Raw genomic sequence first — 17304 nt, forward strand, 5'->3', positions numbered from 1 at the left:
AGCTCTAATTTATAGCAGATTATTTCTCTTGTCCGCCTAGAACAAAGCTTAGATATCAAGTGAGCATGTTCAACCAAATGACAAATACTTTGCTAATTGTATTAAGAAAGGCTCTGAATGGCTGGTATGTTTGTTTGGTTTTTCTGTTTTAAGGGAAAAACTAGATATTTGGCACTGAGATATCTTTAAATCTTTATTTCAAAAGAAGGAGAGAAATAAGCAGTATGAATAGGTAGATCTTTCAAATATGTGGCATATGTTCTACAAGGGGTATGAAGAGTGATTTTAACTAAAGCGTGAACACTTTTTTTTTTTTTTGAAACGGGATCTCTGTTGCCCAGGCTTTAGTGAAGTGGTGTGATCATAGTTCACCGCAGCCTTGACCTCCTGGGCTTAAGTGATCCTCCCACTTCAGTTTCCAAGTAGCTGGGTCCACAGGCTCATGCCACCATTCTTAGCTAATTAAAAAAAATTTTTTTTAGAGATGGGATCATGCCATGTTGCCCAGGCTGATCTCAAACCCCTGGCCTCAAGGGATCCTCCTGCCTTGGTCTCCCAAAGTGCTGGGACAAGCATGCACCACTGTGCCTGGCCCATATTTTAAATTTAATAGTTATGAGTTAAAACATGTGAACTCTTAGAAAAGTGTTTGGCATATAGTAAGAAAATAAAATGACCGAAGTTTGAGAAACTTGTGATTTTGTTTTCTCATTACTCTCAGGAAAAGTCCAAAGTTCTTCCCATGGATTGTGGGCCCTGTAGGATTCAGAGCATGGGCTTTGGAACTGGCCAGACCTGGTTTTAATGAGCTCTGGGACCTTGAATAAGTTGCCCTTGTGTCCTGGTCAGAGATTGCTGGTTGCGAAGAAATGTGCAGTGAAACTGGCTCGAGTTAAAAGGGGATTATTGGGGCCCGGCATGGTGGCTCATGCCTGTAATCCCAGCAATTTGGGAGGCCAAGGTGGGTGGATCACCTGAGGTCAGGAGTTCTAGACTAGCCTGGCCAACATGGTGAAACCCCATCTCTACTAAAAAATACAAAAAATTTGGCCAGACATGGTGGCGCACACCTGTAGTACCAGCTACTTGGGAAGCTGAGGCAAGAGAATCCTGGCAGTTGGAGGTTGTAGTGAGTCGAGATGTGTGAGACTCCATCTAAACAAACAAACAAACAAACAAAAAATGGTAGTGGGGATTATTGTAGGGCTGTAAGAGGATCTCGTGAAAGCCAAGGGCAGAAAGCAGGTCTGTGGTGTATGTGTGCAGTCTGCACCCAGGACGCAGAAGCCAGCCTGAGGTGGGGCTGAAACCCAGGCTGTCCTCCACCCTGAGGAGGGAAGGGAGTCTTTATGTAATTCTTTCTGAGGCCGCAGGACAGGCCCTGCCAGAAGTGCTGAATGGAGCTTTCCCTCGTGGGAACTAGAGAAGCCTTTGCTAAGGTCTCCAGCTTGCTTGCCCCACAGAGTCTTTCATTGGCTTTTCTTGGAGTCAGCTCCGTTTTCCCTGGTCCTTCATGGACTGCTTTCTTTCCTCTTCCCTGGCTTCTCACTGCCCTCCACAGTGGAAGTGCCTTGAGCCTTTGTCTTGCTAGGAAGCTGATTTACTTGGCCCTGACTCTGTGACTCCGTGGGACTTATTTGGGTTCAAGAGTGCACTATTGTCTAACTAGAATCTCTGTGGGTTTGGGTTGCTGTCTCTCTCTCTCTCTCTGTGTGTGTGTGTGTGTGAGAGAGAGAGAGAGAGAGAGAAAGAGAAAGAGACAGAGACACAGAGAGAGGGAGAGGCTGACTGGCTGAGCCTAGCCTATGGCTTTGCTGTCTTAAACATTTTTTTTTTTTTTTTTTTTTGAGACAGAATCTTCCTCTGTTGCCCAGGCTGGAGTGCGGTGACATGATCTCAGCTCACTGCGACCTCCACCTCCCCGGTTCAAGCGATTCTACTCCTTAGGCTATCAAGTAGCTGGGATTACAGGTGCATGCCACAACGCCCAGCTAATTTTCGTATTTTAAAAATAGAGACGAGGTTTCACCATGTTGGCCAGGCTGGTCTTGAACTCCTGACTTCAGGTGATCTGTCCACCCCGGCCTCCCAAAGTGCTGGGATTACAGGCGTGAGCCACCACACCTGACTGGCTTGGCTGTCTCTACTCAGGTGTCCAGTCAGCTGTGGTAGTCAGTCGGGGAGAATCCCATGTTGCGGGGGAAGGTGCAATCCTCTCAGAAGTGTGAGCAGACAGGAACTGACATTTCTAGAAGTTCCTTGCTAACCCTCATTGCCCTTATTGTGAAATGGGAATAAAAGGACTGCTTTGAAGATCAAATAAGCTAACCTATATTAAATACCTATATTAGTTCCCTAAGGCTGCCGTAACATATTACCACAAACTTGATGGCTTAAAACAATAGAAATTTATTCTCTCAGAGCTGTGGAGACCGGAAGTCTAAATCAAGGTGTTGGCAGCACCTCATGCCCTCTGAAGACTCTAGCAGAGAATCTTTCCTTGACTCTTCTAGCTTCTAGTGGCTGCAGCAGATCCTCGGTGTGCGACAATGTCACTCTCATGTCTGCCTCCATCTTCACGTGGACATCTTTCTGCGTGTCTCCTCTTTTGTCTCAAATCTCCATCTGTCTTTCTCCTATAAGGACACTTGTCATTGGGTTTAGGGCCCAGCTGGATAGTCCAGATATCTCATTTTAAGATTCTTGACATTTTCACATCAGCAAAGACTTGTTTTCCAGATAAGGTAGCATTTATAGGTCCTGGGGATTTGATGTGGATATCTTTTGGGGGCCATTTTTTGGCCTTTCACAATATCTGACACAGTGTTTGGTTTATTATAGTGATGGTCCATATACAGGGCCATTTTTTTAAAAATTTATAATTTTAAAAAATTTTATTGTGATAAGAATGCTTAACATGAGAGCTACTGTTTTAATAAAGTTTTTAGTGTACAATACATTATGGTTGACTCTAAGTACAATGTTGAATAGCAGATCTCTAGAGCGTGTTCATTTTGCTTGACTGAAACTTTTTCCCATTAATTAGTAACTCCTCATTTCCCCCTCCCCCAGCACCTGACAACCATCATTCTACTCTTCAAGTCTATGAATTTGACTATTTTAGGTATGTCATGTAGGTGGAATCATGCAGTATTTGTCTTTCTGTGACTGGCTCATTTCACTGAGTGTAATGTCCTCCAGGTTCATGCCAGTTGTTACATCTTGCAGAATTTTCTTCTTTATAAAAGATGAATAGTATTCCATTGGTGTGTATACCACATTTCCTTTTTTTTTTTTTTGAGATGGGGTCTTACTCTGTCACCCAGGCTGGAGTGCAGTGGCACAATCTTGGCTCACTGCAACTTCCGCCTCCCAGGTTCAAGCGATTCTCCTGCCCCAGCCTCCTGAGTAGTTGGGATTACAGGCATGTGCCACCATGCCAGGCTAATTTTTATATTTTTAGTAGAGACGGGGTTTCACCACATTGGCCAGGCTGGTCTCGAACTCCTGACCTCAAGTGATCTACCCGCCTTGGGCTCCCAAAGTGCTGGGATTACAGGCATGAGCCACTGCGCCCAGCCACATTTTCTTTATTCATCTGTCAACGGGCATTCAGGTTTTTTCCACGTCTTGGCTATTGTGAATAATGCTTCAGTGAACATGGGGGTACTAATATCTTTTTGGATCATGATTTCAACTCTTTTGGATAAATACCCAGAAGTGGGATTGCTAAATCATACATTCGTTCTGTTTTTAAGTTTTGGAGGAACCTCTGTACTGTTTCCATGGTGGCTGCACCCATTCCCACCAACAGTATATAAGGGCTTTATTTTCTCTTCATCCTCACCAACACTTCTTGTCTTTTGTTTTTGATAATGGTCATCCTAACAGGTATAAAGTGACGTCTTATGGTGGTTTTGATTTGCATTTCCCTGATGGTTAGTGACATTGACCGCCTCTTCATGTAGATATTGGCCATTTATTGGTCTTCTTTGGAGAAATGTCTATTCAAGTCTTTAGTCCACTATTATGGTTTTAATGGGTCTCAAATGACAATGAAAGTCAGTTCTCAGCAGCCTAGGGGCTCTTCTTCATGTATTATTTCTTTCAGAGATTGACAGAAGCACTATTTCCCCAGAGAGAAAGGCATGAGAAAGGGATGTTGTGATTGACAATTAGCAGCTGGTTGAAGTGGGAGTTAGAGAAAGGGTCTAGTTCTCCCTCTGTCTTGGATCCTCAGGTAATTCTGTGGATCTGGGCAAAGAAGTCTTGTCTCTCCTTAGTGAGAAAATTAAGTCTCTCCAAGCAATAGAAAGAATATCGTGTTTTGGGGTTAGGCAGATGAGAGGTTTTGTGTCCCCTTTTCCTTGCAAATAGTTGTATGACCTTGGACAAGTAAACTAATCTCTCTAAGCCTTAGTTTCCTCATTTGCAATTACCTCTAGGTGTTTTAAAGATTAAAGGAGGAAATCTGTAGAAAGCACCTTAGTGAAATCATATTCCACCTCTGCTCAAATTTTCCAATGGTTTTCATTTCTCTTTGTTTAAAAGCCAGAGTTCCGGTGATGTCTTAAAGAACCCTTCATCATTGTAACCTCTCTTGCATTAACACCTATTCTCTTCCTCCTCATTCATTACCCTCCAGCTGTACTGACATACTGCTTTTCCTCTAACACGCAAGACACAACCCTACCTTGGGTCCCTTGTACTTGCTGTTTCTCTGCCTGGAAAGCTCACATCTCAAATGACCATATGACTTGCTCCCTTCCTTTCTTTAGGTCTTTACTTAAAACTCATCTTCTCAGTGAAGACTTCCCTGGCCGTTCTATCTAAAATTTACCCCACCACACTGCCATCCAACACTTCATATTCCCTTCCCTTCTTTATTTTTTCATCTTATTGCTGGTTACCATCTAACTCTGCCTGTAATTGTTTATCACCTGCTATCTCCACTGGCATCTTCAAAATGGCAGGAGTCACTACAGCTGTTCACTGCTGTACCCCAGTGCATAGAACTATGCGTGTTACACAATAAACACAAAATACAGATTTGGTGAGCTGATTTGAATTAATGATAGCTAGCTAGTTCCTTTTTACCATTGAGCTTCAACTTTCTAATCCGTAAAATGAGAAATAGAGAGTATAGGCCAAAGTGGCTTGGACTGTGAGCTCCTAGAAGGCAAAGACAATGCTTGTTTGAGTCTGTATTTACACTGTCCAGCACCTAACATTGCATTCAGGAAGCACAGGACGAACGTTGAACAGATGGGCGGATAAATATGTAATAACTTGTGACAGGAAAATAAGATAAGCAGTGATGAAAATTTATAAAACATAGTATGTTGATAATTAGGAACCCTCTTACTCCATATTTGCATTTTGATATCAAAAAGCTTTACAAAGCCATTCATTTATTCATTCATTTGGCGAATACACACTTGTACCTTCTATGTTCCCAGGCGTTTGATTTAGGTACTAAGACTATAAGTCAAACAGGACATGGCTGCTATCTTAGAGTTTCTTGGTGCCCTGTGTGGGAAATTGACATGTGGATGTCCATTCACTGAAGACAGCACTGTGTTGGTGCCATGGCTGTGGGACCAAAGGTCTGTAAGACAAGCCCAAGAAAAAGGGACCAGTTCAATTTTCGGGATTCAGGAAGTTTCCTCTGAGGAAGGACCATTTACAATGAGTCTAAAAAGAATGAGTTACTTTACCTGGGAAAGAATATGAGGAAAGGGATTCCAGCCCTAGAGAATCACATTTTCAATGGCCTAAGGGTTGTGGAAGGTTGTGTTGTTGCTATTGCCATCAGCATAGTATCAGTAATGGCTGCTAACATTTATTGAGTCTACACTGTGTGCCAGTCACTATCCTAATCTGTTACATGCAAAATCTCTAAGCAGAGAGATAACCTACTAGAAATATTCATGCCATTTATCCCCACACATCCTATGGATAGGTAGAATGGGCTTTATTGTCCTCATTAAGAAATGAGAGACTTAAGACTCTAATTCTCTTTGTGCTATCACAAAACTGGCATCTGAATAATGTAGTAAATAACTTAGTAGCCCCCCAAAACCCCATTTTTTGTTTTATTCACAAGCTATTTTATTTTCTCCTTAGCATTCATTGCTATTTTGTGTTTTTTCTCTCTGTGTATATACATATATACACACACATTATATATATTATATATATATAGAGAGAGAGACACACACATTAGATATATGTATTTTTAGAGACAGGAGCTTGCTCTGTCACTCCCACTGGAGTGCAGTGTGTGTTTGTAGCTTACCTTAACCTTGACCAACTCCTGGGTTCCAGGGATCCTCCCATCTCAACCTCCTGAGTAGCTAGGACTACAGGCACACACCACCACACCTGGCTAGATTTGTATTATTATTATTATTATTATTATTATTACTATTGAGATGGAGTCTCTCTCAGTCACCCAGGCTGGAGTGTAGTGGTGTGATCTTGGCTCACTACAACCTCTGCCTCTTGGGTTCAAGTGATTCTCCTGCCTCAGCCTCCCAAGTAGCTGGGATTACAGGCGTCTGCCACCACACCCAGCTGATTTTTATATTTTTAGTAGAGATGGGATTTCACCATGTTGGCTAGGCTGGTCTCAAACTCCTGACCTCAAATGATCCACCCACCTCTATCTCCCAAAGTGCTGGGATTACAGGCGTGAGCCATTGCACCTGGCCTAGCTGGCTAGATTTTTGATTTTTTGTAGAGATGGGGTCTCGCCACGTTGCCCAGGCTGGTCTTGAGCTCCTGGCCTCAAGTAATCCTCTTGCCTAGGCCTTCCAAAGCATTGGGATTACAGGTGTGAGTCACCATGACCATTAATATAAATACATATATATTTAAATTTGTACATAATCTCTTATTACAAGGTGAAATCTATGAGAGCAGGGACTTTTGTTTGTTTGTTTCATTTTTTTTTTTGAGATGGAGTCTCACTCTGTTGCCCAAGCTGGAATGCAGTGGTGCAATCTCAGCTCACTGCAAATTCCATCTCCCAGGTTCATGCCATTCTCCTGCCTCAGCTTCCTGAGTAGCTGGGAGTACAGGTGCCCGCCACCACGCCCGGCTAATTTTTTTTGTATTTTTAGTAGAGATGGGGTTTCACCGTGTTAGCCAGGATGGTCTGGATCTCCTGACCTCGTGATCCACCCGCCTCAGCCTCCCAAAGTGCTGGGATTACAGGTGTGAGCCACCGCACCCGGCCGGTTTTGTTTTTTAAGATGGGGTTTCACTCTGTTGCCCAGGCTGGAGTGCATTGGCACTATCTTGGCTCACTGCAGCCTTGACCTCCTGGGCTCAAGCCAGGAGGCTCAAGCCAGGCTGAGGTCCCACCTCAGCCTCCTAAATAACTGGGACTACAGGCACACACCACTACGCCTGGCCCAGGACTTTTGCTTGCTGCTATCCCCAAGTATGTAAGATGCCCTCCATAAGTATGTGTTAAATAAATGAAAAAAGAAAGACCTCATGAGGTAATTATTGTGTAGGCTCATTGGTAAAAAATGGTTGTCAGCCTTTTTCTAACAAACACAACTATATCTGATTTCTCATTTCCAGACAGCACAGTTTAACTGGGATCCAGAAACAGTGGGCCTTATCCATGGATCTTTTTTCTGGGGCTATATTATGACACAAATTCCAGGTGGTTTCATTTCAAACAAGTTTGCTGCTAACAGGTAAGATAAATTGATATAACATGATACAAACCAATGAAATGTGGCTTTGTACCTATAAATTCTGCATAGCTGGCTCTCAATTTGGGGGTGCAGAATGAAAAACAGGAGCCATCTGGATAGATGCAATTCACAGATACTGATCCCAAATGACCCTGATCTTAATTTATTTTTATTTTTATTTTTGAGACGGTGTCTCACTCTGTCACCCAGGCTGGAGTGCAGTGGTGTGATCTTGGCTCACTGCAACCTCTGCCCCACCCCCTCCCCCACCCCACTCGGCATTCAAGCAACTCTGGTTCCTCAGCCTCCTGAACAGTTGGGATTAAAAGTGTGCACCACTACACCCAGCTAACTTTTGTATTTTTGGTAGAGACGAGGTTTCACCATGTTGGCCAGGCTGATCTCAAACTCTTGACCTCAAGTGATCCACCCGCCTTAGCCTCCCAAAGTACTGGGATTGCAGGCGTGTGAGACACCAGCGCCCAGTCAAGAGTTTCTTTTTATTTCGTTTTTCATCCAATTAAATTTACCTTGCAACTCTTCAAGTGATTATGTGGTAAAAAGACCAATCAACTCTGAGTCAGGAGAAATGGTTCCTGCCCCCTAACTGGATCACTGGGTGACCTCTATTGAGTCACTTTCCTTCCCTCCCTGGGCCTCAGTTTCTTCATCTGTGAAATGAAACATTGGACTAGATTGTATTTCAGTTCCCCTTGACCAGTGACATTCTGTAATCTTAGGTTAATATCACCCAGTACCATAAAGGTTTTCTCAGATGAGTGGTGGGGGCTTGCCTCTAGACTGCAAGATGTGTCTCTAATGTCCTTGAGACTCTGTAGTGGGTGTTTGAGCAATTAAAAGTACCCAAGAACAGAGTGAGCTGTCTCAAGAAGCAGTGAGTTCTCTGTCACCGGAGGTATTCAAGCAGAGGAGGATGGCCACTTGGGGGAGATGTTGTAGAATGTATCATGTATTAGAAAAGGAGTGAACTAAATCTCTCCAGGTCGCTTCCAATTGTATTTCCCATATGACTTTCCATAAATGGATTTCATGAAGTGCATTCCATTTTTAAAAAGTGGTTTTTTTTTTCAAATTCTAAAGCACAACTCATTAGATAGTTGTGAAAACAATATAATGATTTACCAATGAGCATTTTTAAAAAAGAGAGAAATAGAAGAAAAGATAATCAAATAGAATAAAATAGAAAATATCTGAATGCATTGCACATAAGGGTAAATATTGGTTTTTGAGACTTGTTTCAGTTACATTTGTATGTATGAGTATGGACTGGGTTGCAATATAAAATATATTTTGTTTATGGGTTAAGGTAAAAAAATTGGAAGCCACTACCATAAGATCTAAATAGGAATAAGCATATATTTATTTAGGTTCTTGTCTAATTTATGTCTTTTATTTATTGTTAGTTATCTATTGTATTCTTTTTAAAAAGTGATAAAATATTGGTTGCTATGGTTTCCTGGGTTACCGCTTACACCTCAGCCTTGAAAAAAAATCACACATAATCTAATTTCCCAGCACATAAAAAGAGTGGAAACATCATCAACATAAGTGAGAGGGGAAGAAAATGCTGCTTGCTCTCTTTTCCCAGGGCACCCTGAGCTGGCCAGGAAATGGGAGCTAAGACAGGTACACAACCTGTCTTGTGCTTGGCTGGTCCCAGGACATACAATGCTTCTTGGATAGTCAGTGTTTCTGACTCTGGGAAGCAGGAAACAACCTCAAACATACAGTAACAGTCAGAAAAGATCAGTCGGTGGGGAACCAGGCAGGATGGTAGGTCTCTAGCAAGCTTACCTGAACCTGGCCAATCTCCAACTTTTCAGGACATCATCCAGGCAGGACATCCCTGTGCCACCAAAAATTTGTTCATAGTTGGTCCAGGGGCCAGAGCTTGGGAATCAAAGAAGCCCAAGAGTCTAGCTTGGGGTGCACTAGACCCTAACACATCTATTTCTCCAAATTACAGGTGCCAGCCGCCATGCCTGGCTAATTTTTTGTATTTTTAGTAGAGATGGGGTTCACCATGTTGGCCAGGCTGGTCTCAAACTCCTGACCTCAGGTGATCCACCCACCTCAGCCTCCCAAAGTGCTGGGATTACAGGTACGATCTTTCCACAGGGATTTCCACAGGGATCTTTCATGAACTGTTAGGTTTGTTTCTGGTGCTTAGCTGAAGTAGCACATCCATCAGCAGACCTGCCGAATAACACAATGCTTTGGTCCCCCAGGGTCTTTGGAGCTGCCATCTTCTTAACATCGACTCTGAACATGTTTATTCCCTCTGCAGCCAGAGTGCATTACGGATGCGTCATGTGTGTCAGAATTCTGCAAGGTTTAGTGGAGGTAGGAGATACTTTCCTTACAGTTTTTGATATTGCTAGAGACAGCGCAGTCCTTTAGAAAATTCACCTTCTGAAGAAAATCCCCTTTACTCAGTTTTTTTCTATATTTTCTTCCTTTTCCTGCTGTTTCCATTCTCTGGTAATGGCTAAAATTGCAAGAATTTTAATTAAAATGCCTTGTGTGATTTTACATTTATGAACAATAAAGTACCCTTGCATAATGATCTTAGAGATAATCTAACCTGACCCTCTTCATTTTAATAGATAGTGTAACTGAAGCCCAAATCTACAGTTCACATAGCAGAGGCTCATTCCACTAAAACAATTTAAGTGGATTCATTAATAAATCTGTACATTTTCAAGGGTGTAGTCTGATGCAGAGATTTAATTCAATGAAGGAGGCAGCATGATATGGAGCCAGAAGGTAAATATTTTGGACTTTACAGGCCTTACAGTGTCTGTTGCATCTACTCAACCCTGCTGTTATAGTGCAAAAGCAGCCAGAGACAATATGGAAACAAATGGGCATGGCTACGTTCCAATTAAACATTTTACAAACTGAAATTTGAACTTCATATGATTGTTGTGTGCCATTAAATATTACTCTTCTTTTGATTTTTTTTCTCACCATTTTAAAATGTAAAAAACATTCTTAGCTTGTGGGCTATACAAAAACAGATGGTGAACCAATTGGCCCATAGTTTGCCAACCCTCGATATACAGCAATGTTTCCCAAACACAGTCATTCACCTCTGACCTTCGCCAGTTTGTTATGCCCATGTACAACTTGTACTATTATTTGCCTATTGTTTTCCCCTAGATCGACTCATTTAAAACAAAAAACAAAAGATACCTATTACTCTAAGCAATACCATCTTTGAAATCATGGGTTTGATGTGTTAGTTACATCTTTTCCTTTTTTTTTTTTTTTTTTTTTGAGATAGAGTCTCGCTCTGTAGCCCAGGCTGAAGTGCGGTGGCATGATCTCGGCCCGTTGCAACATCTGCCTCCCAGGTTCAAGCGATTCTCCTGCCTCAGCCTCCTGAGTAGCTGGGACTACAGGTGCCAGTTACCACACCCGGCTAATTTTTTGTATTTTTAGTAGAGATGGGGTTTTACCATGTTGGCCAGGCTGGTCTTGAACTCCTGACCTCAGGTGATCCGCCCACCTCAGCCTCCCAAAATGCTGGGATTACAGGTGTTAGCCACCACACCCAGCCACTAGTTACATCTTTTTCAAAGCATACATATATATAGTAGAATTATATATAAATTTAATTATATATAGATTAATTATAACATATATACTAGTGTATATATGTATATATAATATATACATATATAGTATATATATAATATATATAGTGTATATATATACTGTATCATATATAGTGTATGTATATAATATACATACACTAGTATATATATTATAATTAAAAATGTAAGTTGTTATATCATTTCAAATCCAACTCTAGTCCCACTAGAGGGACATATATGACACTTTGGGATGTACCCGTGTAGTGGAAAGAACACGATATTAGCATCCATGAAGACTAAATTTTAGTCACTTAACAGCCCTGAGTCTCAGGTTCTGTATCTTGAAATGAGTGGATGGACCAACTGATTGTGGAAGGCTCTTCCTACACTGATAGTCTATGATAATATGAAATATAAATATAAAGACCTTTTCCCCCATCTCCTACCATGCTTACATGTGAAGTGTATTTGAATTTCAGCATCTGTACTGTGAGTCAAAATAGCTCAATCATGCTGTTTAGTGTCTGTTTTAGTCCATTTGGGCTTCTACAGAATACCATAAACTAGGTAGGTTATAAACAAAAGAATTTTTTTTTTTTTTTTTTGAGACAGAGTCTCACTGTGTCACCGAGGCTGGAGGCAGTGGTGTGATCTCAGCTCACTGCAACCTCTGCCTCCCAGGTTCAAGCGATTCTTCTGCTTCAGCCTCCTGCATAGCTGGGATAACAGGCACATGCCACTGCACCCGGCTAATTTTTGTATTTTTGGTAGAGATAGGATTTTGCCATGTTGGCCAGGCTGGTCTCGAACTCCTGACTTAGGTGATCCGCCCACCTCGGCCTCCCAAACTGTTGGGATTACAAGCATAAGCCACTGTGCCTGGCCTTTTTTTTTTTTCAGTCTCGCTCTGTTGCCCAGGCTGAAGTGCAGTGGTGCAATCTCAGCTCACTGCAATCTCTGCCTCCTGGGTTCAGGCGATTCTTGTGCCTCAGCCTCCCAAGTAGTTGGGATTACAGGCATGCACCACCATGCCCAACTAGTTTTTGTATTTTTAGTAGAGATGGGGTTTCATCACGTTGGCTAGGCTGGTCTTGAACTCCTGGCTTCAAGTGATCCACCCACCTCGGCCTCTCAAAGTGCTGGGACTACAGGCGTGAGCCACCGCTCCTGGCCTAGAAATGTATTTCTTACAGTTCTGGAGGCTGAGGAGTCAAAGATCAAGGTGCTGGCAGATCGGTGACTTGGGAGAGCTAGCTTCCTGGTTCATAAACAACTACCTTCTCTTTGTCTGCCCATGGCAGAACGGATGAGGGAGCTCTCTGGAGTTTCTTTTATAAGGCACTAATCTCATTCATGAGGGCTACACCCTTATTACTTAGTCACTTCCCAAAGGTCCATCTCCAAATACCATCACATTGGGAATTAGGTTTTAACATAGGAATTTGGTGGGGACACAAACATTCAACCTACAACAGTGTCTGTAAATTGGGCTTTTATATTGTAGCCTGTGTGAAGAAGCAGCATCCATATTTTAAACACAAGCAGAAACTACAGTCAAATCAACTAATCTATTTTCAACTCTTCTGCCAGGGTGTGACCTACCCAGCCTGCCATGGGATGTGGAGTAAGTGGGCACCACCTTTGGAGAGAAGCCGACTGGCCACAACCTCTTTTTGTGGTGGGTATATTAGAATCGTAACAAATTTTATTTATGAATGCTTTTTTTGGGTTCATGCAGTGGCTCACGCCTGTAATCTCAGCACTTTAGGGAGGCCGAGGCAGGAGGATCCCTGGAGCCCAGGAGTTCGAGATCAGCCTGGACAATATAGTGACACTTCGTCTTTAAAAAAAAAAAAAAAAATTAGCCGAGCATGGAGGTGTGTGCCTGGGATCCTAGCTACTAGGGAGGCTGAGGCAGGAGGACTGCTTGAGCCTGGGAGGTTGAGGCTGCATTAAGCTATGATGGCCACAGCACTCCAGCCTGAGTGACAGAGTGAGACCTTGTATCTAAAAAGAAAAAAGAAAAAAGAAATGGAATGCTTTTTTGGCTTCAAGCAACTGAAAACCCTACTAAGGGCCTTAAAATGAGTCTATTTATTTTATATAACAGAATTCTAAAGGTGAGTGGTGGCTAGTGTTGGTTCTGCTGCTCAAAAATCCATCCAGGGCCTAGGCATGTTCTGACTTTCTACTCTGCTATCCTCAGACATAGCTTTTTATTTACTTCTGTGCTTATTCCATCTGTCCCTTTCATCAGGAAAACAAAAGCTTTCCCAAAGCCCCCTACCAACCTTCCACTTTAATTTCTTTGGCCCTAACTGTATCATATGCTTTACTAAATGCAGAGGAGGCTAGGCAAGCAGATGCCTAGCTTCACCAGCCTCTTCAGGAGTGAAGGGGAAGGGAGAAAGGGTTGGAAGTGGTTGTTGGATTAGCCAACAAATGACATTTGCTAAGGACAAAAGTGGAAAGATGGGATCATCAAGCATCCCACGCCTCTTCTTTTTATATGAAACTAAAGTTCAGTGACTTGCCCAAGATCATGGAGCTAGAACAAGACCTGACTGTTGATCTGGAACTTTCCTTACTTCACGCTCCTACCATGTACACATTGTCATATAGAAATGTAAATTAATTTTTGTCATTATATCCCAGATAATAAGAAGTAGAGACCATCCATCTTATCTGAAAGTAAATGAGTAGCCCCCAAGTAGTATGTGACTTTAATTCCTGCATCTCCAAACTTCACCTTGCTGAGGTTGCCATCTCCAAGCTACCCCTGTGGGACAGGCCTCTCTAGGTGTGGCTGGGTCCCTAGGAATCAATCAACAACAGAACAACAACAGCACATGCCGCTGCCATCAACACAGTGGTAAATGTGTCGGGGGAAGGGGCCCATGAAGGTAAAAGTACCTTAGACCAGCCAGGCATGGTGGCTCACACCTGTAATCCCAGCACTTTGGGAGGCTGAGGTGGAGGATTGCTTGAGCCTAGGAGTTTGAGACCAACCTGGGCAACATGGTGAAACCCCATCTCTACCAAAAATACAAAAAATTAGCTGGGTGCGGTGGCTCATGTCTGTGGTCCCAGCTACTCAGGAGGCCAAGGTGGGAGGATCGCTTGAGCCCGGAGGTGGAGGTTGCAGTGAGCCGAGATCACACCATTGTACTCCAGCCTGGGTGACAGAGGAAGACCCCGTCTCAAAAAAAAAAAAAAGTACCTTAGACCACAAAAGTCACAGTGTGGCCTAGGCAGTGTGAATTACAGCTTAGGTCTGTCTGATTTTCAAACTAGCACACTTTTCCTAAGATATTCTTCTTTGCTAAAGGGAGAAAGATAGCTTTCTATTTATTTCTGCATATGTTTTAATTTTCCTCTTCCTGCTGGCCTTTTACCTCCTTGAAATAATAATAAAGTAATCCTGAGAATGTGGTGTGAGGTATTCACCGCTATGCCTACTTTGTGCCTCGTTGGGAATTGCATGCTCAGCTGAGATGTCTTTACATATTCAGTGTCTCTTGTCCTTAGAAACCATCTCCATCCGCTCATTTGCAGTTTAAGCATCTCCATCCCTACTACTGTGCTTATACCAACTCTAGAAGAGGATAAGACTCACCCCAGCTGGCCTTGTGGCTTGTTAGATCCTTGACCTTACTTTCTTTGGATGGTTTATTTGTAAGACCTTTCATTTTGATTTGCCAGCAAAATGAGCATGACTAGCAGCCACTCCCCATTCTTAGTGTGTTTTTATAGCCCTAAAAGGGCTGATTTAAGAAATGGTTTGACTCTCAAGGAAAGTTACCTGATCAAGGACACAGGCCTCATTACATGTCCCAGCTAAGGTGTGGCCTTGGTTTCAAAGAACAGCCAAAGGAAAATGTGGAAGAAGGAAACCCAGGCTTGGAGTGTATAAATTCTTAATCTCAAAAGATATTGGAGTTAGAAGGGATTCTAGAAAACATCCAGTGATATGGTTTGGCTCTGTCGCCACCCAAATCTCATCTTGTAGCTCCCATAATTCCCATGTGTTATGGGAGGGACCTGGTGGGAATTGATTGAATCATGGGGGTGGGTCTTTCCCATGCTTTTCTCGTGGTAGTGAATGGGTCTCATGAGATCTGATGGTTTTAAAAACGGGAGTTTCTCTGCACAAGCTCTCTCTTTGCTTGCCGCCATCCACGTAAGATGTGACTTGCTCTTCTATGCCTTCTGCCATGATTGTGAGGCCTCCCCCGCCACGTGGAACTGTGAGTCCAATTAAACCTCTTTCTTTTGTAAATTGCTCACACTTGGGTTTGTCTTTATCAGCAGCATGAAATCAGACTAATACATCCAGTTACAACCCATTGTTTTATAGTTGAGGAAACTGAGGCTGAGGGAGGAAAAAAGATTTAAATTCTTACAGCTAGTGAGGGCCGAACCGGGGGCTCTTTCTCACCCCCAGTTCTGTTCTTCCTTCTTTGCATACCATTCAACAATCATCTGAGGCCCAGGGGACTGAGCTGCAGTCTGCTCCCCAGGGCAGTCTGGGAGCAGCTGGGGGCAGCTGCAGTAAGGGCTGAGTGCCCTGTTGTTTGCTCAAGGGGCTGTGTCTAATAGGAACTGACATTGGAGAATGTCTAAAAGGATGAGGAAGATTTTTTCTGATAGAAAAGAAGGGTAGTTTAGGTCACATTGTGTATTAGTCTGTTTTCACATAACTATAAAGAACCACCTGAGACTGGGTAATTTATAAAAGAAAGAGGTTTAATCAACTCACAGTTCTGCATGGCTGGGGAGGCCTCAAGGAACTTACAATCACGGCAGGAGGCAAAAGGGGAGGCAAGGCACATCTTACATGGTGGCAGAAGAGAGAGAGAGAGAGTGAAGGGGAAGGTGCCACACTTTTAAACCATCAGATCTCATGAGATCTCACTCACTATCGTAAGAACAGCACGGGGGAAATCCGCCCCCATGACCCAGTCACCTCCCACCAGGTTCTTCCCTCAACACATGGGGATTACAATTTGAGATGCAATTTGGGTAGGGACACAGAGCCAAGCCATATCACATTGTAAAGTTTCCCCAATGATAGAATGCTTTTTACTATGTAAGGGGAATTATTAGGTGCTTTTGAGTGAAGGAGGCATGACTGAATGATTAAATAAGAGTAAGGGCTTTGGGGTTCCACAGACCTGGGCTCCTGTCCTGTGACTTGTCACTTCTACCTGTGTGACCTCAGGCAATCTGCCTCCCCTCCTCCAGCCTGGCTTTCTCCTTATAAAATGGGGGTCATATTGGTACTTACCTTGTCAGGTTGAAGGAGAGTTAAACAAAGTCATAGGTACAGTATACTTAGCATGGTACTAGGCACCCAGAAAGCACTCAGTGCATCTTAGTTGGTGGGGTTATTCTCTACCTGCCCCTGTCCCAGGCATTCTTTTGCATTACCTAAACCAGACTCACCCACCCCACCTCCCAGGGTATTTGGCCTGGGGACAAAGGCCACCCTATCTCCACGCACAGCAGAATGAGACCTGCAGCCCATTTTCAACACATGCCTGGAGTGCTCACCTTATTGGTTTGAGGAGCCCTGAGATTGTTTTTTGAGTGTGTTGTCATTCTGTACATGATAATAGCGGTAATAGCTGGCATTTGTGTAACCCATTATAGCTTACAAAGCATCTTCACATACATAGTTTATTTGAATCTCAAAACAACCCCTTGAGATGGATATTTCATTCCCATCTTATCTCTGAGGAAAATGAGTCTCTTGACTTCCTCGGGTGTCATGATGTTCAGATTCCAGATCTCAGGCTGGGCCTTTCACCGAGGGTCAGGCTCACCTTGGAAAGATGTGATTTAATCTATTTCTCTGGAAGATCCCCAACCTCCCATTTCCTAAAGATCTTCCTTAGCATCAAATTCTGGGATATAGAATTTCCTTTCACCACTCACTTTTTCTGAAGCAAGAGTTTTTTCATTCACAGCCC

The 17304-nt window shown here is 43.0% G+C and overlaps 1 protein-coding gene across 2 annotated transcripts in view; it reads left to right on the forward strand.

Moving 5' to 3' along the window:
- SLC17A8 (solute carrier family 17 member 8) overlaps nucleotides 1–17304 on the forward strand; it is a 64982-nt gene that overhangs the window by 26334 nt on the left and 21344 nt on the right. For both annotated transcript variants that reach the window (NM_139319.3, NM_001145288.2), the window contains exons 3-5: nucleotides 7594–7712; nucleotides 9962–10076; nucleotides 12923–13010. In NM_139319.3, coding sequence (NP_647480.1) covers nucleotides 7594–7712; nucleotides 9962–10076; nucleotides 12923–13010 — 322 coding nt within the window. The remainder of the gene's footprint in view (nucleotides 1–7593; nucleotides 7713–9961; nucleotides 10077–12922; nucleotides 13011–17304) is intronic.

Source organism: Homo sapiens, chromosome 12 (assembly GCF_000001405.40).
Source record: "Homo sapiens chromosome 12, GRCh38.p14 Primary Assembly".
Lineage (NCBI taxonomy): Eukaryota > Metazoa > Chordata > Mammalia > Primates > Hominidae > Homo > Homo sapiens.